Source organism: Homo sapiens, chromosome 9 (assembly GCF_000001405.40).
Source record: "Homo sapiens chromosome 9, GRCh38.p14 Primary Assembly".
Classification (NCBI taxonomy): Eukaryota; Metazoa; Chordata; class Mammalia; order Primates; family Hominidae; genus Homo; species Homo sapiens.
Window position 1 is genome coordinate 27,574,115 of NC_000009.12, and position 24,136 is coordinate 27,598,250.

Genomic DNA, 24,136 nt, shown 5'->3' on the forward strand with positions numbered 1-24,136 from the left:
TTACCGTAAGACACTGTTAAGTGCATTCAAAACTCCACTGCAAACCCTGGTAGGGGACAGCTCCGGCACTGCGGGCGGGAATCCCACGGTCCCCTGCAAAGTCATCGCAATTTTGCCTTTACATGTAAGAATTCTCTCAAGCATGATTTTCACACTGGGGAATGTCATTTTTGCTAGTTGCAATATGTGGATGAGTTGTTTTTTTTTAACTTTTGAAAAACGTACCATTCTGTTTGATGTGTAAAAAACACAAAGATTTTTGAAACCTTGCGTCTTTTGGTCTGCAGGTGTATAGATTCCACTTACTACAGATGAGTAGCATTTACACCACTCAGATGTGTAAAAAAACAAAGGTTTTTTAAACTGTGTGCCTTTTGATCTGCAAGTGTGAGATGGCACTTACTACAGTGAGTAGCATTTAATCTTTTTCATCACTAAAAATCACACAGAACGTTTTAATCATTCACCGAGGAAGAAAGGGAGGAATAAATACACAAAATGGCTCTCAACGTCTACACCTTCTGCAGAAACAGACCCTTTTCCTACTGTTCTATGCTTTGTGAAAGTTGATCATACAAATTGGGTCATTCTTTTTATACCCAACTAAAATAGTGGGGGTAGGGGGTAGAAAAGCACTTAGGACAAATGACACTGCTCCCACAGTGTAATTCTCTCCAAGTCCAGCTGCTGCAACTGCCCGTTGTGACCTGAGACCAGTTTTATCTAATAGTTGCTAAAATGACCTGCTGCAGCTCTAATTTTATCTACCACCATCACTCACCAGTTGAAACTCACCAGCTCCTCAGATCCTTAATAGTGCCAATGAATTTTCTCAAAGAGCACTATGTAACATTTCTCTTTTTTAACAAAACCTCCCCCTTTTCTTTGTTGTGTGGATATACCGAAGACCATCTGATCTACATGTATGCCCTAATTGCAATTCTTTCTTCCCAAATAAATCACTTAATTTAGAGATTCATCTCTGTATTTTTATTTTGACTGACAGCTTATAACAAGTAGCTAGCATTTACCAAGTTTCTACACTGAGTTGTACTTCACTTATACGTGGAATTAAAAAACAACTGAATTTATAGAAACAGAGTAGACCCTTGGTTGGGGGGCTTGGGGGGAAAGAAAATTGTAGGGTAGGGTACAAAGTTGCAGTTACGTCTAATACATCTAGAGATTTAATGTACAACATGAGGACTAGCGTTAATAATTGTGTTAGTCCATTCTTACACTGCTATAAAGAAATAACTGAAACTGGGTAATTTATAAAGAAAAGTTTAATGGCTCACAGTTCTGCAGGCTGTACAAGAAGCATGGCTGGATCAGCTTCTGGGCAGGCCATAGGGAACTTAAAATCATGATGGAAGGCATAGGGAGACCCCAGACTTCACATGGCAGGAACTGGGGGAAGAGAGAAATGGGAGGTGCTACATACGTTTAAACAACTAGATCTTGTCAGAACTCACTATATAGTACCAAGAGGGGACTGTACAAAACCATTAGAAGCCACCCCATAATCCACTCACCTCCCACCAGGCCCAACCTCCAACACTGGGGATTACAGTTGAACATGAGATTTGGGTGGGGACAGAGATCCAAACCATGTTATTCCAACTCTGGCCCCTCCCAAATCTAATGTCCTTCTCATATTGCAAAATACTGTCGTGCCTTACCAACAGTTCCCCAAAGTCTTAACTCGATCCAGCATTCATTCAAAAGTCCAAAGTCCCAAGTCTCACCTGAGACGAAGCTAGTCCCTTCTACCTATGAACCTGTAAAATCAAAAACAAGGTAATTGCTTCAAAGATACAATGGGGGTATAGGCATTGGGCAGATACTGCCATTCCGAAAGGGAGAAATCTGCCAAAAGAAAGAGGCTATAGGGCCCCATTGCAAGTCTGAAAGCCAGCCGGGCAGTCATTAAATGTTAAAGCTCTGAAATAATCTCCTTTGACTCACACCCAGGGAACACTGATGCAATGAGTGGGCTCCCAAAACCTTGGGCAGAACCACCCCTGTGGTTTTCCAGGGTTCATCTCCCACAGCTGCTCTCATGGGCTAGCATTGAGTGCTTGCAGCTTTTCCAGGCTGCAGGGTGCAAGTTGTTGGTGGATCTACCATTCTGGGGTCTGGAGGACGGTGGCTGTCTTGTCATAGCTCTGCTAGGCAGTGCCCCAGGGGACTCTCTGTGGGGGCTGCAACCCCACATTTCTTCTCCTTGCTTCCCTAGTAGATGTTCTCCATGAGGATTCCACCCCAGTAACAGGCTTCTGTCTGGACATCCAGGCTTTTTCATACATCCTCTAAAATCTAGGCAGAGCTTCTTAAGCCTCAACTCTTGCATTATGTGCGCCCGCCGGCTTCACAGCTTATGGAAGCCACCAAGGCTTATGCCTGGCACCCTGTGAAGCAGCAGCCTGAACTGTATTCTTACTGGTGAAAGTTATCTGAGTTACCAGCTGCAAATCCATGTGGGTCTGCAGCAACCTCAATTCTTGCCTCCTCAGAAGAAAGAATTTGACCAAGAGGCATAAGGCAGAAAAAGAGACTGCGACAAGTTTCAGAGCAGGAGTAAAAGTTTATTAAAAAGCTTTAGAACAGGAATGAAAGGAAAGTACATTTGGAAGAGGCCCAAGTGGGCACCTTGGAGGTCAAGTGCCCTGTTTGACCTTGAACCTAGGATCTTATACACTGGCCTACTTCTGACATCTTGTGCCCCTTTCCCTTGGTCCTTCCCTAAGGGTGAGCTTGCCGCATGCATGGTGCCCTGCTTGCACTTGGAAGGTGAGCGTGTGCAGTGTGTTTACTGGAGTTGTATACATGCTTACCTGAGGCTTTCTTCCCTTTTCCGGTGGAATGCCCCCAAAGGTCATACTTCACCATTTTGCCTCTTAATGTGCATGTTAAGCCCACTCTCTCAGTTCCTGAGATCTTATTGGAAGCGCCCAGTTACCAATTTCAGGTGTTTCTATCTATTGAGAAGTTGCCTCTCCCTGGTGCTGGCTGCAACCAATTACTATTTTAGAGAGGCAGTATGACAACTGCCTGACCATCATCTGATGGTTGCCTGACATTCCTGGTGGGTGGTGGGGACTTCTCTCTTACCCCACTCATGCCTGATTAGCTACCTACTGTAACAGTACCTGGGCCCCTTTGAGCAGCTGGGATTCAGGGAGCAGAGTCCCAAGGCTGTAAGAGGGAGCAGGGGCCCTAGGCCTGGCCCAGGAAATGATTCAGTCCTCCTAGGCCTCGGGGCCTGTGATGAGAGGGACCACCATGAAAGCCTAAAATGCCTATTAGGAACACTTTTACACTGTTGGTGGGACTGTAAACTAGTTCAACCATTGTGGAAGTCAGTGTGGCGATTCCTCAGGGATCTAGAACTAGAAATACCATTTGACCCAGCCATCCCATCACTGGGTATATACCCAAAGGACTATAAATCCTGCTGCTATAAAGACACATGCACACTATGTTTATTGTGGCACTATTCACAATAGCAAAGACTTGGAACCAACCCAAATGTCCAACAGTGATAGACTGGATTAAGAAAATGTGGCACATATACACCATGGAATACTATGCAGCCATAAAAAATGATGAGTTCATGTCCTTTGTAGGGACATGGATGAAATTGGAAATCGTCATTCTCAGTAAACTATTGCAAGGTCAAAAAACCAAACACCACATGTTCTCACTCATAGGTGGGAATTGAACAATGAGAACACATGGACACAGGAAGGGGAACATCACACTCTGGGGACTGTTGTGGGGTGGGGGAGGGGGGAGGGATAGCATTAGGAGATATACCTAATGCTAAATGACGAGTTAATGGGTGCAGCACACCAGCATGGCACATGTATACATATGCAACTAACCTGCACATTGTGCACATGTACCCTAAAACTTAAAGTATAATAATAATAAAATAAAAATAAAATAAAATAAAATGCCTGTTAGTCCTATGAGTCTTTCTCCCCATTGTTTTGGTTATCAGCCCTTGCCTTCCTTTTAGTTATGCAAATTTATGCAGCCTGCTTGACTTCCTCTCCTGAGAACGAGCTTTTCTTTACTACCACATGGCCAGGCTGCAAAATTTACAAACTTTTATGCTCTGCTTCCCTTTTAAGTGTAAGTTCCAATTTCAGGTCATTTCTGTGCTCATGCCTATGAGCATAGGCTATTAGAAGCAGCTAGGTTACTTCTTGAACACTCTGCTGCTTAGAAATTTCTTCTGCCAGATACCCTAAATCATCATTCTTAAGTCTAAGATTTCACAGATCCCTAGAACAGAGGAACAATGCAGCTAAGCTCTTTGCTAAAGCATAGCAAACCTGACCTTTACTCATTCCCAATAAATTTCTCATTTCCATCTGAGACCTCCTCAGCCTGGACTTCACTGTCTATATCACTATCAGTATTTTGGTTACAACCACTCAACAAGTTCCTAGCGAGTTCCAAACTTTCTCTCATCTTTCTGTCTTCTTCTGAGCCCTCTAAAATGTTTCAACTTCTGCCTGTTAGCCGGTTCCAAAGTCACTTCTACATTTTCAGGTATCTTTATAGCAATGCCCTTCTTCTCAGTAACAATTTTCTGTATTAGTCCATTCTTGCATTGCTATAAAGAAATACTTGAGACTGGGTAATTTACAAAGAAAAGAGGTTTAATTGACTCATGGTTCTGCAGGCTGTATAGGAAGCATGGCAGCATCAGCTTCTGGGGATGCCTCAGAGAACTTACAATCATGGCGGAAGGCAAAGAGGGAGCTGGCACTTCACATAGCGGGAGCAGGAGGAACAGAGAGAGGGAAAGTGGGGGAGGTGTTACACACTTTTAAACAACCAGATCTCGTGAGAACTTACTCACTATACAGTACCAAGAAAGGATGGTGCTGAACCATTAGAAGCCACCCCTGTGATCCAATCACCTCCAACCAGGCTCCATCTCCAACGTTGGGGATTGCAACTGAACATGAGATTTGGATGGGGATATGGATCAAACCATATCAATATTGTATACTGGAAATTTGGTAAGAGAATAGATTTTAGATAATCTTATCACATACATAAAAGGTAGCTATGAAATGATGGATATGTTAATTTGCTTGACTGTAGTAATCACTATACACGTGTATATCAAAACATTATGTTGCCCATTTTAAATACATACAATTAAAAAAAATTACACTTAATCCTCCTGACATCTCTAGGATGTAGATATTGTCATCCCTAGGATGTAGATATGTTTTACAGAGGAGATAACTGGACCTCTGAGAGCTTGAATTATTTACCCAAGGCTACATACTTTGATAAATTAGGCCAGTTTCATGCAATTCTAGAGCTCACTGAGTCCAGAGGACAACAACCTGGTACCAAGTTGATGATAACTCATCTCAGATAACTCCTATGGTGGTTAATACTAGCATCCCCAGTTTAGAATAAGACTGGAACTTGGATTAAGTGCCTGGGAGGGGAATACAACTCCAAAAGCAGGTTTTCCTACTTCAAAATTTGGCCTACAGACAAATAATTTTCCTTTTCTCGAATAGGTTTTTCTGTTTTTTTGTGATATCAACCCTGAAACAACTATGTTTCCTAAGAGAGAAATAATCAACACCAAAGCCTAAATTCTACATGATCATGAGAAATAAAATATATGGTGAAAATGGCTCTGTATGCATGATGCTTTCTAGCCAGTGACTGTGTATCTTCCCCCCACCTAATCCAACAGGTATTTAGTCATTGTGTAGCAGTATAGTAGCTTGTATGTCTTTCATTAGATTGGAGCAAAAAAATCAGGAGAGAAACAATAATTATAACATAGTACAGTGGTCCAAAATACTTTATTGCCTGAAAGGGTAAAAGAGGAGGACAAATATTCTAGCATATATGCAGTCTTCTGGGAACCAAAGAGAAAATGATATTTAAGTATCTAGTAATGTGATTCATATTAGCAGCATGAAAGATGGCTTGGGAGGGCTTTAACCCTTATCCTTTTCATACTCTGTTAACTGGTTTATTAACCACATCAAGTAACTGTAGCATCTAAATGAAAATAGGTTTTTCTACAGAAATATGTCTTCAAGTGAGAAGCCTAGTCCTCCATTTTCAACCAGAATGACACCCTTAAAAGACCTTATATAGAAATTTTTGAACTCTTCACATATAATTAATGCAGTCATACAAAAAGACTCTACAACTAGGGAAGCAGAAAAGCATATGGTTAAGAGAGTGGGCTCTGGAATCAGAGCTGGTGTGAGTATTGTCTTTGCCTTTGATTAGTTATGACATTTTGGGCAGTACTGTATTTCTCTGTGCCTCAGTTTCCCCAGCTACAAAATGGCATGCAGAATAATTTCTCCTAGGATCATTGTGAGGGTCATGTGTGATCAAGCAAGCTAAGGATTTAGAACAGTACATTCGAGAAGTGGTTCTAATCTCAATTTTACTAACTATGCAGAGATAATAAAAGCAATAACAAATGACTTATTAGCCTTTTAAACTATGTACCTATGTATGATTCCAATAACTATTATATCAGAATCCAGATAAACTTCCTGCTGTGTCAAAAATGCCAGTTGTTGTCAGGAAGGCATTCTTGCTATTAGTGTATTTCAAAAATGCAATATCTGCTGCTGATTCAGAGCTAGAGCTGAGAGCTTGTTGATTAGCTCCCATTTATCCAGATTACAGCAAATTAGATTTAACTGTGACTGGCATGTGAAAGATCTTATGTAGGACATGGAGGAGGAATACCGCTCCATAAACCATAGTGCATTTAATTTCTTTTTCTTTTTTTCTTTTTTGAGACAGAGTTTCACTCTTGTTGTCCAGGCTGGAGTGCAATGGCACGATCTCAACCTCCACCTCCTGGGTTCAAGTGATTCTCCTGCCTCAGCCTCCTGAGTAGCTGGGATTATAGGCATGCACCACCATGCCCCGCTAATTTTGTATTTTTAGTAGAGATGGGATTTCTCCATGTTGATCAGGCTGGTCTCAAACTCCCAACCTCAGGTGATCTGCCCTCCTTGGCCTCCCGAAGTGCTGAGATTACAGGTGTGAGCCACCGTGCCTGGACTTAATTTCTTTTAAATAATGAGATTTTATGTGGTTGCCTTAATCATTACGGACTAGGCGGTATGCACTTTATGGTACATTATCTTTTGGTTGGAATGTGAATGAACCAACACCTACCTGAGGTACTTCTAGGTGAAATCTTGATTCTTGAGTATATAAAGTTACTTCTGGTTGCCAGTGTGATATAAATGGTTTACAAAACTCTAGGGGTTCTGTGCCTGGAGCCAACACTCTACAGTTCTGATGATAGACAATGTAAACAATGCCCTTGCAAGAGAATATCAGGCCGGGTGTGGTGGCTCACGCCTGCAATCCCAGCACACTGGGAGGCCGAGGCTGGTGGATCATTTGAGGTCAGGAGTTCAACACCAGCCTGACTAACATGGTGAAACCCCATCTCTACTAAAAATACAAAAAAAAATTAGCCAGATGTGGTGGCACATGCCTGTAATCCCATCTACTTGGAAGGCTGAGGCAGGAGAGTCCCTTGAACCCGGGAGGTGGAGGTTGCAGTGAGCTGAGATTATGCCACTGCACTCCAGCCTGGGCAATGGAGTGGGGGAAAAGAAAAAAGAAAAAAAGAGAATATCATTAGGATCCAATATATATTTCCTTTTGGTTTTTCCTGGGACTTATGATTCTATAAATAATAAGCTAATGAACTTTTCAACAAGAGAATCACATCTTTGACCAGACATTAACCTCTATTCCTTCTCTGTTGATTCTCTGCACTTTATAAGCAACAGTTTTGAGTGATCTAAGGCCTGGAATACAGAGTTCTGGGGAGAGGAAGTTCCTAGTTCATTGCAGCCTCAGAAAACACAGAAGAAAGAGAACAAGAAGTAGGAAGATGAGCACGATCTTCTTAAATTTTAGAGAAGACCACTAGCTTATAGAGGAAGAGAGAATTTGAACTAGTACCTTGATAGGTTGGTCATAATTTGATGGAATTTAGATGGAAAGAACAGTGCACAATGATGGTTTTGTTACTGACCTACCATATGCCTGAGTAGTGGGGGACTAGTAGCAGATGAGCCTCAGCACTCTCACAGCAATGGCTCCCCTTCTAGACATACTTCCCAAATCCACTTCAGAATGGTTCCCTGAGCAACTGGCCTAGCTTTACCCCTCTACTTGCAGCTTTCAGCATTATTTTGCATGTATAGTTGTATTTTATTGTAGTTACTGGTATAGTGCTTTGTAAGTAGTTTCTTTAGTTATTTCATGTATGATATGGAAAACTGCTTCTCAACTATGTCACATGCTATTTGAGACCCTGGACTGTAGGCTGACAGTTTATTTGTTAACTCCTTTATTGTTAGCTCATATCAGATGATTAGCAAATGCCACGTAGCTGATTGAAACTTCACTCCAACTACCCAGAATTATTATCCTTGAGTCAGGCTAGTTTTATATATTCATGATGTATTTGGAAACCTTACTAAATATTCTTATTGGTTGTAAATTTAAAAACCACAAACAAAACAAAACAAGAAAGCAACCAAAACACAAAAGAAACAAGTCCTAAACCAAAAAGTTACTAATCATTTCACTCTCATGTTCTTCACCTTTCAGGGGCTTCCCATTTTCTATATGTCAAGGTCCTTGGCATGACTCTCTAGTTTTTCCACAATCTGGCTCCACTTGACTTTCAAGCTTCTCTCTTACCGCCCTTTCCCTTTGATCTTGCAGACGCATGACTGTTTACTGCTCTGTAACCTCTCATATAATTCTCTCTGCCTGAAATGTCCTCACCTCTCCATTTTGTGTGAGCAAACCTTATTAACTGCAGCCATATGCTGCCTCCTCCATGAAGTCTTCCTGGATTTTCCCAGTTTGAATAATTCCATTGTGCACCTTTAACCTCCACTAGTAATACAAAAACCAAACTCTTTGTATTTACATTTTACATTTTGGGGGCAAATAATGGTAATATAATATTAATAGAACTAATAATTTGAAACTATTAGAGTTGTTTGCAGTGACACAATAGGGTTTAATGGCATGAGTTTTGGAGTCAAACCAACCTAGTCTTGAATTCTGGCTCAATCACTTTGCATCCTTGGGGGAGTTACTTAACATTTTTGAGCCTCAATTTCCTCCTCTTGAAAATGGAATTGCTTTGAGGATTAAATGAGGTTACCATCATAAAGGGTTTATCTTGATACCTGCCCCATGGTAATTGCTCAGTAAGTTTAGCTACTATTATCACATGGTAGACGCTCAATTTGTGTTTGTTAATAAATGTATTCCCAACCCCTAGTTTATAGATGAAGAGATTGAAAGGGAAAGGGAAAGAGATTTACTCGAGGTGACACCTTTAGTTTGGGGCAGATCTGTAACTAACACTTTCATATGCCAGCAACCAGGTAAGAGCTTTTTTTTTTTTTAAATCAACATAAGGTGTGTATACGTCTTTCTCATCACTAGACTGAAAGCTTCCGGAGGGCAGGGAACTTGTCTGATTCACTTTCGTCTGCGCTTTTCCTCTAAGCACAGTAATTGCCTATGTTTTAGGTCTTTAATAAATGTTGGATGTAATTTAATTTAAGAAAGTTCCCATTAGAAACAAAGAAAGTTCCCATTAGAAACAAGAATAAATAAAATGTATTTAATCAATGTGTAGATTAAAATTTCACTAAGCTCTAAATATGGCACACAATCAAGTGATGTTAATAAAGAAAAGCTTAATTTGAACATTATTGCATTTTTAGGTGACAAAACAACAGGCCACTTCATCATCAAGATTTCTAGAAAGAGCAGTTATTTCATACATTGCCAAGCAAAAAGAATAAGAGATTCAAACACATATTTTTAACCTGCAGTTGCACCCACGGCATTTAACATCAGTTTAAAATTTGAATACAAACAAATATAAAGTATTGCCTTTACAGAAGTAATGGAATTTGACAAGTTATTATCGTGAAGGATTAATTAGTACCCTGTGAGAACAAAACTGAGTCACAGGTAGTAAGTCTGCTTACAAAAACCTAAGAAGGGATGGATTGTCATGTTATTGTTTTTCATCTCAAATATGTAGAGAGATAGTCACCTTAAATAGCTTGCCTGGGAAATTACAGAATGTCTATTTTGTCCTATTTAAGATTGTGCAAAGTTTCACATAAATTATAGACACAGAGACATGCACAAATAATTTAGTACAGAACAACAAACTAGATGGATAAATAGGAGGTTATTACTTTCAAATTATAGTATTAACTCCCTCAAAATTTATTTTCTTACTTGGAAATGATTTGTTTGCCTGTCCATATTCCATGTGCAGGATATAAAAAGGAAATAGTGCTCAAACATTGCTGATCACCTCTGACGACTATCAGTTGTTTTTACCAAATAGTGCTTTAGAAAAGAATGAAGATGCTGCATGGGAAATGACATTAGGATCTAATTCTCAAGCACTTTCTCCATTAATGAACTATACATTATAAATCAGGAGACACGCACATTTGTTTTCTGAACACAGGGCAAAAAAGAAAAGAAAAGTAAGTGGTCCATTTGATAAAGAGCAGATACCCAACACCCTTCTAGTTTTGCTACACAAAGATCCAATTATCTCTCACAGTTCTCGAGTTTTTACAAACTGCCTCTTTATTCAGGAATAATTTTTTTTAAAAAGTCAAATTAAAAAAAAAAGAACAAAAAATTGCAGTTCAGATAACTTTAAATGCCTAAATAATGTCATTGTGGAAAAAACACCATAAAAAGTGCAGTTCAAATTCATGCTTAGTCTAGGGTAGCTTATACATAGTCCAGCTCAGTTTGCCAAGTGTTTGTTAAAATTAATTATCACACACACAGCAGCTTTCACTCTCTAAGTAGAACTCCCAGAAAATATGCTTGGAGTGGAGAAATGCAGATTGGGTTATGAAGTAATTTTGTACTCTAAGGACAGATTTTTTTTTTTTAATTCACATTACTTCATGTTGGAGAAGATTCATTATTATTTATAAAGCAGAACAAGCCCCAAAGCCAATCCCTTTCCAGTCTCACTGTCACTTTCTGCATTACAAACACCACTAAATTTCCAAATGAGTAGGCTAATTCTTTCCTTACAGAGCCAAAAACCTTGCTTGGAGTTTTGCTAACTTAGGTGACAGCACTTTGTTCAAAATAATTCTTTTTTTTTTTTTCCGAGAAAGAGTCTCACTCTCACTCTGTTGCCCAGGCTAGAGTGCAGTGGTGTGATCTCGATATTGCAGCCTTGGCCTCCCGGGTTCAAGTGATTCTCCCACCTCAGTCTCCCGAGTAGCTGGGACTATAGGCGTGTACCACCACACCGGGCTAATTTTTGTATTTTTAGTAGAGATGGGGTTTCACCACGTTGGCCACGCTGGTCTTGAACTCCTGGCCTCAAGTGATCTGCTCACCTTGGCATCCCAAAGTGCTGAGATTACAGGCATGAGCCACTGTGTGGGCCAAAATAATTCTTATTAAGCATTCAAACACCTTATTTCAATGTGGCCAGAACTCTGGGGGAAAAGAAGTAGGTTTGTCTCTTGTTTATGATTACTAAATTTTGTTTCTTTGGGCACCTTGGTCCTTTAATAATGAGGCCACTGAAATACTTTATAGTGCAGGCTTAGAAGACAATTATTATGCTATTTACCATTTTACATGTTTAAGTTGCATTTGGTCAACAAGATGATTAAATAGTATATTTAATATAATAGGATATAATATCCTATTTTGAATTAATCCAAACATTGTTAAAAACATAATTATTTTAAATGCAAAATGTATAGAAGTTTCTTTAGAATCAAATAACAATAAAAAAATCATCATCCACTCCCCTCCTCTACCACCATCCCCACATCCTTATTCCAAACTAATGTAAGGCAGGGTGACTGCTTTAACCCAATTTGAGATGAATGAATCTTGTTTACAGGGTTCTGAGACTGGTAGTAGTCAGTGTGTTGAAGAGATGAGATTTTCCATCACCAGATAAAAACTTCTCACAGAGTTGCATCGATGTAACAGTGGTAGTGAGTTCCTAGCTTGGAACACCTTTCAAGGGTGGCCTATCTGTGCCAAAGAGGCCATTCAGGTATTCCATGTTCCAGTCCTGAGAGTCATGATGGAATGACTCCTTTAAAGGTGTAACTCCTCTTTTCATGGCTGCTTGGTTCCTGCCATCCAAAGAGCATTTACAAAGTGAAACCGCTTTGTAACTGTAGGACAAGAACAGAAAGTTACAATTACTCTTCTGATTCTGGCCAACCCATGCAGAAGAAATGTCTATGAAAGCGGTCAAAGGGAAAAACCTTCCTCAGATGATGTAACATTTTAAATTGGAAAGGAATAAAATAAAGACTTGAGGACTTTTTTTTTTTTATCGTGAGTACTACTTTTCTCTTTTTTAAGGAAGTACCAAAGATGACCAGGAAAATCCACTTTTGCAGAGCTACTCATTTTTTGATAATTGGGTGTGTTAAATTAAGTTTAACTTAAAGCTTCCTCTTTGCATATTTTAAGTTCTGCTTAAAGGTTTCTTCTTCGTGTATAGTGAACTGTAAACTAACTGGATGTGTAAATAGACTGTAATCTGCTCTTGTACCAAACACCAAGTTTTGGTCAAGCAAAGACAGCCAACTGTTCAGATTATGTTCAAATAACGCAAATGGCAAGCTGTAACCAATCCAGCTGTTTGTGTACCTCACTTCCATTTTCTGTATCTCTCTTTCCCTTTTCTGCCCATAAATCCTCTCCAACCATGTGACAGCACTGAGTTGCTTTGAACCTCTTCTGTTTCTGGGGGTTGCCTGATCCTCAAATCATTCTTTGCCCAATTAAACTCTGTTAAATTTGATTTGTTTAAAGTTCTTAAAAAATTTAATGGGTACATAATAGGTGTATATACTTATAAGATACATGAGCTATTTTGATGCAGGCATACAATATGTAATAATCACATCAAGGTAAATTAGATATCCATCCCCTCACATCACCTCAAGCATTTATTGCTTCTTTGTGTTACAGACATTCCAATTATACTCTTAGTTATTTTGAAATGCACAATAAATTTTTGTTGGCTGTAATTACCCTGTTGTGCTATCAGATACTAGATCTTATTACTCCTATCTATATTTTTGTACTCATTAACCATTTTTATTCTCCCCCACCACCATTACCCCTCTGAGCCTCTGGTAATCCTCAGAATGGGAGAAAATATTTGCAAATTATTCATCTGACAAGGGATTAATAACCAGAATATATAAAGAACTCAAACAACTCAATAGGAAAAAATGTATTACGCCATTTAAAAATGGGCAAAGATCTGAATAGACATTTTTCAAGAGAAGACATACAAATGGCAAACAGGTATATAAAAAGGTGCTCAACATCACCGATCATGAGAGAAATGCAAATCAAAACTACAATGAAATATCATTTCACTCTAGTGATAATGGCATTTGTTCAAAAGACAGGCAATAAGGAATATTGGCAAGAATGTCTAAAGTTTTTCTTAACAGGTGGAAGTGATGAGGCATATCCTTCCTACCTCTTCCTGAATTTTTCCTTCAGTATTTATTTAGCTACTATTATGTCTCTTGCTAGTTATCTCTTTATCATATGTGTTCTGCCTCCCCTAAGGTCATATTTATGCTAGGTCTGAAGGAGAGAGGTGCAAAGTGAAAGACAAGACTTCCACTCCTATGTAAGCCATGGTTTCCTTTCCTCCTCTACCCCCACCAACCAAAGCAGAACACAATGTCTGGCACATAGATGCTCATAAATACTAATTGTAGCTGGTTTGAAAGTATTACTGTGGTACTGAACATAATGCTTTCTACATATCTAGTAATCAAAAATGTATCAAGTTTAATTTTATGAAGGAATAATATATTTATGTTAAGAAAATCAAAATATAAAATAAATACATATATAAAAATTAGTACATATATAAAATGAATACATATATTAAAATGAATACACTGAGAAATCTATCCCTAACCCTAGTCTTCATCCACTCAATTACTCTTACCCTTTATAGGAAACCACTTTATTCTAGCCAATTTGTGTACCTTTATTATCTCTTAATATAAATGGAAGAAAATATAAATATGCAATTATATCACCCTTCTTTTTTAGACAAAAAGTCTTACACTTTATGGCTAATTATGTACTTTTTTCATTCAACCATCTGTCTTCCTTCCATGTCAGCGCATAGAGAACTTCCTCTTTTTTTTTTTTTTTGACGGAGTCTCGCTCTGTCGCCCAGGCTGGATGGAGTGCAGTGGCGTTATCTCGGCTCACTGCAAGCTCTGCCTCCCGGGTTCATGCCATTCTCCGGCCTCAGCCTCCCGAATAGCTGGGACTATAGGCGCCTGCCTGGCTAATTTTTTTGTATTGTTTTTAGTAGAGACGGGGTTTCACCGTGTTAGCCAGGATGGTCTTGATCTCCTGACCTCGTGATCCACCCGCCTCGGCCTCCCAAAGTGCTGGGATTACAGGCATGAGCCACCGTGCCCGGCCACTTCCTCATTCTTTCTAAGGGCTGCAGAGTATTCATGAACCGTAGTCATGAAACCAGTCCCTGTGTGATGGATGGATATATGAGTTGCTTTTCAGGTTGTTGCTATTACAAACAATTCTGTAATGAATGACTGCATACATTATTTCCTAAGTGTGCAGGTGTACCCTAAGATAAATCCCCATTCATAGAATTGCTAGGATAAATGCATTTATAGTTTTAAATATATTGTTCCCCTCCCCCCCAAAAATCCCCAAATTTTCTTCCATAAGTGTTGCATCATTTTCATTTTCTCCAGTAATTCACAAGGAATTCATGTTTTCCCACAGATCTACCAAACAAATGTTTAGTTAATCATTTGGATGTTTTTGAATTCTATAGGTGAGAAGTTGTAACTTAGAGTGCTATTGTTTTTGTATTTCTTTAACTGTGATTGCAGTTGAAACTTTTTCAGATGGGAAGAATTCAAGATGCTAGATGAGTAGCAGCTAGTGTGTGCTACTCTCACAGAGAGAAAACAAGTGGCGAGTAAACACTGCCTCTGCAAGTAGATCACCTAAGGAACGATATCAGGACAATTAAGGGAGTGAGGGGACACAGAGAACAGGGAAGAGTGAAGCTGGGCAGCTGGCCACCCAAGATGGGCATGGAGCCAGGGGAAGCTCCCCAACATAGAGAAAGGGTGAGTGAGTGAGAGCCCCTGGGGGATCCTCACTTTCCACAGGGACCTGTGAAATCCTGGGAACTGGAGAACCCCTTCATCCCAATACCTGATCCGTGTCCCTGGGCCTCTAGACTGACATAGAGAGTTGCTGGAGTGTTTGCAGAGGCAAAACTCAAGTCCACAGGAAGTCCCACAGGCCTTGGACCTGGAGCAGTCTCATGCCAGCTGCCATAGCCCTGAGAGAAGCCACAGTTAGGGAGCCGTTACATTGCTTCACTCCCCATCATCAGACAAGGCTTAGCATCAGCTTCCAGCACAATGGCCTGGCCTCTGCCTGAACTCTGTGGGCAGGCACAGCTCTCTGTTACCCTGGAAATCAGTTGGACAGTGGGTTGAGAGACTATACCTACCCCCACTGCCTGTAGCCAGGAGGGGCTCATGGTGCTCAAGCAGTGGGGGATCCCCTACTCTCAGAACACTGAGAGGGGTGAGACAGCTGGGTTCATGGACTGGCTCAGGAACAGGGTGTGCCTCCTTGTGCAGGGCCAGCCAGGGAAGGGTATGGTCTATTTTCCAGCCGCAGCCTCTGCCTGAGGGCACCCTGCAGCCCAGGACACCTAATAAATGAAATGCAGGTGCAGTGCCAGTAATAAGAGAGGGCTCCCCCAAGGCCCAGGAATGTATCTGGTGAGGGGGTCATCTCTCCCTACCACCACAGAGCACTACTGAGGACTGCACCAAAATACAAAAGAGCTGTGGACTGAGTAAGAGCCTATCTGCCAGCTACCACTCTTAAGCATCACCTACTGGATTGCACCCCAAATGACAACACCAAAAACATTTTTCCAATATACAGCACCTGTGAAACCTAAAGCAAAAATCTAGCCACAAATAAAGATGCTGTACAGAGCTTTGGCCCTTTGAAAGCACTCAGAATGAAGCCAACTGACTATACTCAATGTACACTATTGTTAATGGAACACCAGCCCTCATATGTTAAAGAGTCATCTCAAGAACTCTAGCAATTCAAAAAAGCTGGTGTCTCCTTACCTCCAGACAAACACACAAGTCCTCCAGCAAAGGATTTTAACCAGATTAAAATGACTCAAATGACATACATAGAATTCAGAATCTGGATGGCAAGGAAGTACATCAAGATCCAGGAGATCATTGAAACCCAATACAAGGAACTCAAGGAATCCAGAAAAATGATCAAAGAGCTTAAAGATGAAATAGCTATTTTAAGAAAGAACAAAACTGAACTTCAGAAATTGAGGGATCAACTTCAAAAATTTCATAATATAGTCAGAGGCATTAACAGCAGAACAGACCAAGCTGAGGAAAGAATCTCAGAGTTTGAAGACCAGTTATTTGAATCAACTTGGTTGGACAAAAATAAAGAAAAAAGAATTTAAAACATGAACAAAACCTTCAAGATTTATGAGGTTATGTAAAGAGACCAAGTCTATGACTCACAGTCATTCCTGAGAAAGAGAGTAAGCAACTTAGAACATACATCTGAGGATGCAGTCCATGAAAATTTCCCCTATCTCACCAGAGAGGTGGGCATACAAATTCAAGAAATACAGAGAACTCCTGTGAGACACTATACAAGACAACCATTGCCAAGTCACATAGTCATCAGATTCACCAAGGTCAATGCAAAAGAAAAAATTGTTAAGGCAGCTAGTGAGAAAGGTCAGGTCACCTACAAAAAGAACCTCATCAGGCCAGCAACAGTTCTGTCAGCAGAAACCTTACAAGCCAGAAGATATGGGGGGGCCTATATTTTCAGCATTATTAAAGAAAATAAATTTCAACCAAGAACTCATATCCCACCAAACTGAGTTTCATAAGTGAAGGAGAAATACAATCCTTCTCAGACAAGCAAGCACCAAGGAGATTCATTACCACCAGATGATTCTTACAGGAAATCCGTAAGTGATTGCTAAACATGGAAATGAAAGACGAAACCTGCTACCAATAAAAATACACTTATTACACAATGAAGTCTACAAAACAACCAGCTAAACAACACAATGACAGGAGCAAAATCTCACATGTCAATGCTAACCCTAAATGTAAACAGTCTACACTCTCCCTTTAAAATGCATAAAGTGGTAAGCTGGATAAAAAGACAAGACACAACTGTCTGCTGTTTTCAGAAGATGCATCCTACATGAATGACACTCACAGGCTCAAAGTGAAAGAATGAAGAAAGATCTACCATGCAAATGAAAAACAAAAAAGAGCAGGAGTTGCTACCCTTAAATCAGATTAAAACATACTTTAAACCAACAACAATCAGGAAGGACAAAGAAGGGCATTATAAAATGATAAAAGGTTCAATTGAACAAAAAGACTTAACTATTCTAAACATATATGCACCCAACACTGGAGCACTCAGATTCATAAAACAAATTATTGGCCTACAATAAAACGTAGATGGCAGCACAATATTAGTGGGGGCTTTATCACTCCACTGATAGCATTAGACAGATCACTGAGGCAGAAAACTGACGAAGGAATTCTGGAATTAAACTTGACACTTGACCAGTTGGACCTAATAGACCTCTCTAGGATACTCAAGCCAACAATGACAGAACACACATTCTTCTCATATGCACATGGAACGTATTCTAAGATTGCCCCACATGCTCAGTCATAAAGCAAGTCTCAATAAATTAAAAAAAATTAAAATCATACAAAGGCCACTCTCAAATCATAGTGAAATAACAATAGAAATCAATACCAAGAAGATCTCTCAAAACTACACAAAAGCATGGAAATTAAGCCACATGCTCCCGAATAACTGTTGGGTGAACAATGAAATTAAGGCAGAAATCAAAAAATTATTTGAAATTAATGAAAATAGAGACACAACTTTCCAAAATCTTTGGGATGTAGCAAAAGCAGTGTTAAGAGGAAAGTTTATAGTGCTAAAATGCCTTCATCAAGAGGTTAGAAAGATCTCAACTAAACAATCTAACATAACACTAGAGGAACTAGAAAAAAAGAGCACAATTCAATCTCACAGCTAGCAGAGGAAAAGACATAACTAAAATCAGATAATGACTAAATAAAATTGAGATGCAAAAGTCCATAAAATGTTAGTGAAACAAAGAGTTGGTTTTTCATAAGAATAAACAAGACTAATAGACTGCTAGCTAGAAAAACGAGGAAAAACAGACAGAAGTTCCAAAAAGCACAAGAAATGACAAAAATGACATTACGACCAATCCCACAGAAATGCCAAAGATTTTCAGAGACCGTTATGAACACCTCTATGCACACAAAGTAGGAAATCTAGAGGAAATGGATAAATTCCTGGAAACATACAACCTCCCAAGATTGAACCAGGACGGAAGTGAAAACTTGAACAGACCTATAACAAGTTCCAAAATTGAATCAGTAATAAAAAACCTACCAACCAAATTTAGCCCTGGACCAGATGGATTCACAACTGAATTCTACCAAGCATACAAAGAAGAACTGATAGTAATCTTACTGAAACTATTCCATAATATTAAGGAGAGGGGCTCCTCCCTAACTCATTCTACAATGCCAGCATCATCCTGATATCAAAATCTGCCAGAGACACAATGAAAAAAGAAAACTTCAGGACAATATCTCTGATTAACATAAACACGAAAATCCTCAACAAAATATGAGCAAACTAAATCAAGAAGCACATCAAAAAGTTAATTCACAACAATCAAGTAGGCTTTATTCCTGGGATGCAAGGCTGGTTCAACATAACAAATCAATAAGTGTGATTCACCACATAAACAGAATGAAAAAACAAAAACCATATGATCATCTCAATAGTTTCAGAAAAAACCTTCAATAAAATTCAATATCCATTCATGATTAAAAACCCTCGACAGGCTAGGCATCAAAGGAATATACCTTAGAATAATAAGATCCACCTATGACAAACCACAGCCAACATCATACTAAACAGGTAAATGCTGGAAGCATTTCTCTTGAGTACTGGAACAAGACAAGGATGCCCACTCTCACCACTCCTATTCAGCATTGCCCTGGAAGTCCTAGTCAGAGCAACTAGGCAAGAGAAAGAAATAAATGGCATCCAAAAAGAAGAAGAAGTCAAACTGTCTCTCTTTGCTGATGATATGATTTCATACATAGAAAACCCTAAAGACTTCTCCAAAAGTCTCCTAGAACTGATAAATAACTTCAGTAAAGTTTAAGGATACAAAATCAATGTACAAAAATCAGTAGCAATTCTATACACCAATAACATTCTAGTTTAGGGCCAAATAAAAAAAAATACAATGCCATTTACAATAGCCACAAAATAGGAATACATCTAACCATGGAAGTGAAATGTTCTACAGGGTGAACTACAAAACACTGCTGAAAGAAATCAAGATGACTGAATAAATATAAAAATACTCCATGCTCATGGATTGGAATAATCAATATCATTAAAATGGCCACACTGTCCAAAGCAAGTTACCACTCCAATGCTATCCCTAGCAAAATATCAAGTCATTTTTCACAGAATCAGAAAAATATTCTAAAATTCATATGGAACCAAAAAGGAGCCTGAATAGCCAAAGCAATCCTAAGCAAAAAGAACGAAGCCAGAGACATCACATTACCCAACTTCAAACTATACTAAAAGGCTACAGTAACCAAGCAGCATGGTTCTGGTACAAAAACAGACACAGAGACAAATAGAACAGAATAGAAAACCCAGAAATGGACCCATACACCTACGACGATCTGATATTCAACAAAATTGACAGAAATAAGCAATAAGGAAAGGACTCTCTATTCAATAAATGGTGCCAAGATAATGGCTAGCCCTATGCAGAAGAATGAAATTAGACTCCTGCTTCTCAACATATACAAAAATTAACTCAAGATGGATTAAAGATTTAAATGTAAAACTTAAACTATAAAATCCTAGAAGAAAACCTAGAAAATATCCTTCTCCACGTTGGCTTTGGCAAACAATTTATGGCTAAGTTCCAGAGAATAATTGCAACAAAACTAAAAATAGGCAAGTGGGACCTAATTAAAGAGTTTCTGTACAGCAAAAGAAATTACCAACAGAGTAAACAGGCTACAGAATGGGAGAAAATATTTGCAAACTATGCATCTGACAAAGATCTAATTTCCAGAATATACAAAGAACTTAAATCAGCAAGCAAAAAACAAATATTTTAATTGAAAATGTGTAAAGGACATGAACAGACGCTTATCAAAAGAAGACATACAAACGGCCAATAAACATATGAAAAAAATGCTCAACATTCACTAATCATTAGAGAAATGGAAATCCAAACCACAGTGAGATACCATTTCACAGTCATCAAAAGGCTATTAAAAAGCCAAAACATAACAGATGCTGGTGAAAAGATTGTGGAGAAAAGAGAACGCTTATACACTGCTAGTGGAAATGTAAATTAGTTCAGCTACTGTGGAAAGCAGTTTGGAGATTTCTCAGAGAACTTAAACCAAAACTATTATTCAACCCAGCAATTCTACTGGGTAATCCAAATATAAAATTTTTGTTACCAAAAAGATACATGCACTTGTATGTTCATTGCAGCCCTATTCACAACAGCAATAGAATCAACCTAGGTGCCCATCAACAGTGGGATTGTATAAAGAAACCGTGGTACATATACACCATGAAATACTACATGTCCATAAAAATAATGAAATCATGTTCTTTGTAGGCCATTATCCTAAACAAATTAACACGAGAACAAAAAACGAAATACTGCATATTCTCAATTATAAGTGGGAGCTAAATATTGAATACACATTGACATAAACGTAGCAACGATAAACACTCAGGACGACTAGATGGGAGAGGGAAGCACGGGCTAAAAATTCACCTATTACGTACTATGTTTACCACCTGGGTGATGGGACCATCATCAGCATTATGCAATATACCCATGTAACAACCCCGCACATTTACCCTCTGAATCCAAAACAAAAAGAACAACAACAAAAATGCCTCTTCTACTATAATGTAAAATCTATGAAGGGAAGAATTTAAAAAACTTAAAATATTTAACATTATACAAGTCATATGTGTTATATATATTTAAATAGTCATATTCAACTTAGTATGTTTATTCATTATTGCCTGCTTCATCCCTATTGAATGTAGTCTTGACAGGAATTTCTATCCTTTTTGTCTGTGTAGTTCATCAACGTATCCTCAGTGCCCATATGCGGAGTGAACAATTCAGAGTAATCAAGGACAACTCCAGCATTCCTAGTCTGAAAACTGGAAGGTTGAATTCGCTGTTCATAGGCGACAGGAGGAGTGAAGAGAGAAAGAGGGAGGAGTGAAGAGAGAAAGGGAGAGGAGCGAAGAGAGAGAGAGGAGAGAAGAGCTGCAGCCCTTTGGCAGCCCAGACCTGGGAGCTCCCGAAGCTAGGGCTGTGATTTGCCTTTTGGAGCCCTGAGGTTCCTGGAGTCTCCAAGTTTCCAGGCACCAATGCGTTCCGTTGCTGCGCTGCTTGGTGCAGCCACAGCCTTGCAGTGAGCCAGCACCCGTGCCAGCACCTGAAGCTGCCCATCCCGCTGTAGCAGCCATTGAGCCTGACTGTGTGCCAGACCCCACGCTCACTTCCTCACACATCCCTCACCGCTTCGCTCCAGTCTCTTTGGAGGCATGGGATCCACGCCAGTAGTGTCAGCTGAGCGCAGCCTGCCAGGATGAGTGGGCCCAGTGGACCCGAGCAAAACTCATGCAAAGGTGCCACCGCCACAGAGGTTTCTGGACAGAAAAGCAACACCCCCAAGGATCCCATAACAGTATCAGTATTTTTCAGTCAGGAGGAAATTGCCTACTTCTTGTTGAGCAGTGTTGCTAAGGGTGTATTTAGGAGTTGTATCAGTTTCTAGGGCTGCTGTAATAAATTTACTACGAACTGTGGCTTCAAATAACAGCAATGTATCCTTTCACAGTTTTGCGGGCCAGAGCCCAAAAGCAAGGTGTTAGTAGGGCTGTGCTCCTTTAAAGGCTTTAGGGAAGAGTCCTTCCTTGCCTCTTCCAGCTTCTGGTGGCTGCTGGAAGTCCTTGGTTTCCTTGATTGGTGGCCACATCACTCCAATCTCTGCTGCTCCAAATCTCACATCACCTTCTCCTCTTCTGTTATGAGGATACTTGTCATTAAATGTAGGGCCCACCTATGTAATCCAGGATGATCTAATTTCAATATCTTTGACTTAATTACATGTGCAAAAACCCCTTTTCACAGCTTCCAGGGATTTGGACATGAACATTTTTAAGTGGGGGGCCATTATTTGACCCACTACAAGAGTTCAAAGCCTTCTCGGGAAATACCATCCCTTACCCACTGACATGAGTCTGTTCATGCTGGGAGTGGTAGAAGATACCAGGACCTGAATGCCTTTGTTCCCATCTTTAACAGACACCACCCAAATTCAGTAATGGAGCAAGTGAATTTAGCACGAGTACATTTAATCTTCACACATATGTTGCTGGGTGCTAGAATTTAAAACATTGTTTTCAGCGCCCCCATTCTGACTGGTTCCCAGGGATGTAAGTCTCCTCAACACCCTGGCCAAAGCCTTACCTATTCTCTGAACCCCGCTCTGTTTTGTGCTATGGGTGGGAGGAGGGCATTACTTATTGACCTCCCTGTCCTCAATAACCTGGGTAACCGGAGACAGAGGAATCGAGCACCTCTATCCCTAAACCATCATGTTGGAAATTCCTTACTGAAGCAAGTCATTCACAGTTGTGTCTTCCAAACAGTGCAATTTCATTTGTGTGTTAGGACAGCAACTCTACTAGAAACTACTTCACATCAATAGAAACATCATTACAAAACAAGATCAATATTTCTGATTTTCATGCTTAGTGTTATTTTTTGAGAATGACCAGAAATTTTCATTTATATAGAGATATACTCTATTCTGATAATCAGAAAGAACAGATAATGACTTTGGAGAACATCAAGATTAAGGTTCCTAAGGTAAACATTTACTCCCTGGTCAATATAATATTAAAACCACTAGTACGTTTTACCTGAAAGAAAAATGAATCCATTTTTTTGGTCAACGAGTAATATAGGAAGTCCTATATCTGTTGCATTTATTTTTAAACTTCTTTTTAAGTATAAGAATACAGTACATATATGGAAAAGTATGCAGTTCATAGGTGCACAGCCTAGTCAATTATCACAAAGTAAACACATCTGTTTAATCACCATCCAGGTCAAGGAAAATACCATTGCCCACCTCACTGTCTTCAGGAAAGACCCCTGAGCCCCTTCTCTATCACTACCTTGTCCTTCTCACCAAAAGTAGCCGCTATCTTGATTGCTAAAAGGATTAATTTTGCCTGCTTTAGAATTTTATACTACATATATTCTTTAAGCTTTTAAAAGTCAAAATATCTGGAAACCACTCCTTTCATGATATTTCATCTCAGAGGTAGAATAATTATTTCTTTGTAGGTAACTCTCTGTCGGAAAGATGAATAGCTTACTCCATAAATCATTAGCATAAAAACTTATTTATAATTTACATGAGAAGTCAGTATGAAGAGTAACATTATGACCTTGTGGTCAACACAATCACACAAATGGAATTATTAAAAATAAAGATAAATGAACCATGGAATTTTCAATTCGTAATTTACCTGGTTCTCTCTGTTCCTGTCCTTCTCTCTTGATAGTAAGGTGACTTTAGCCTTTGGGACACAGTAACATTCTCTTGATTATTAAAAGTTTTTTTCTCTCTACCTGCTTGGTCTCTTGTTCATATGCAATTTTTCTCAACAAAAAGTGTTATTGTTTAGTAGTTAAAAAAAGAAATGACTTCAAAGTCAACAATATGTAGAAAGGCTTATATTTGGTGGCATATTTCAAAAA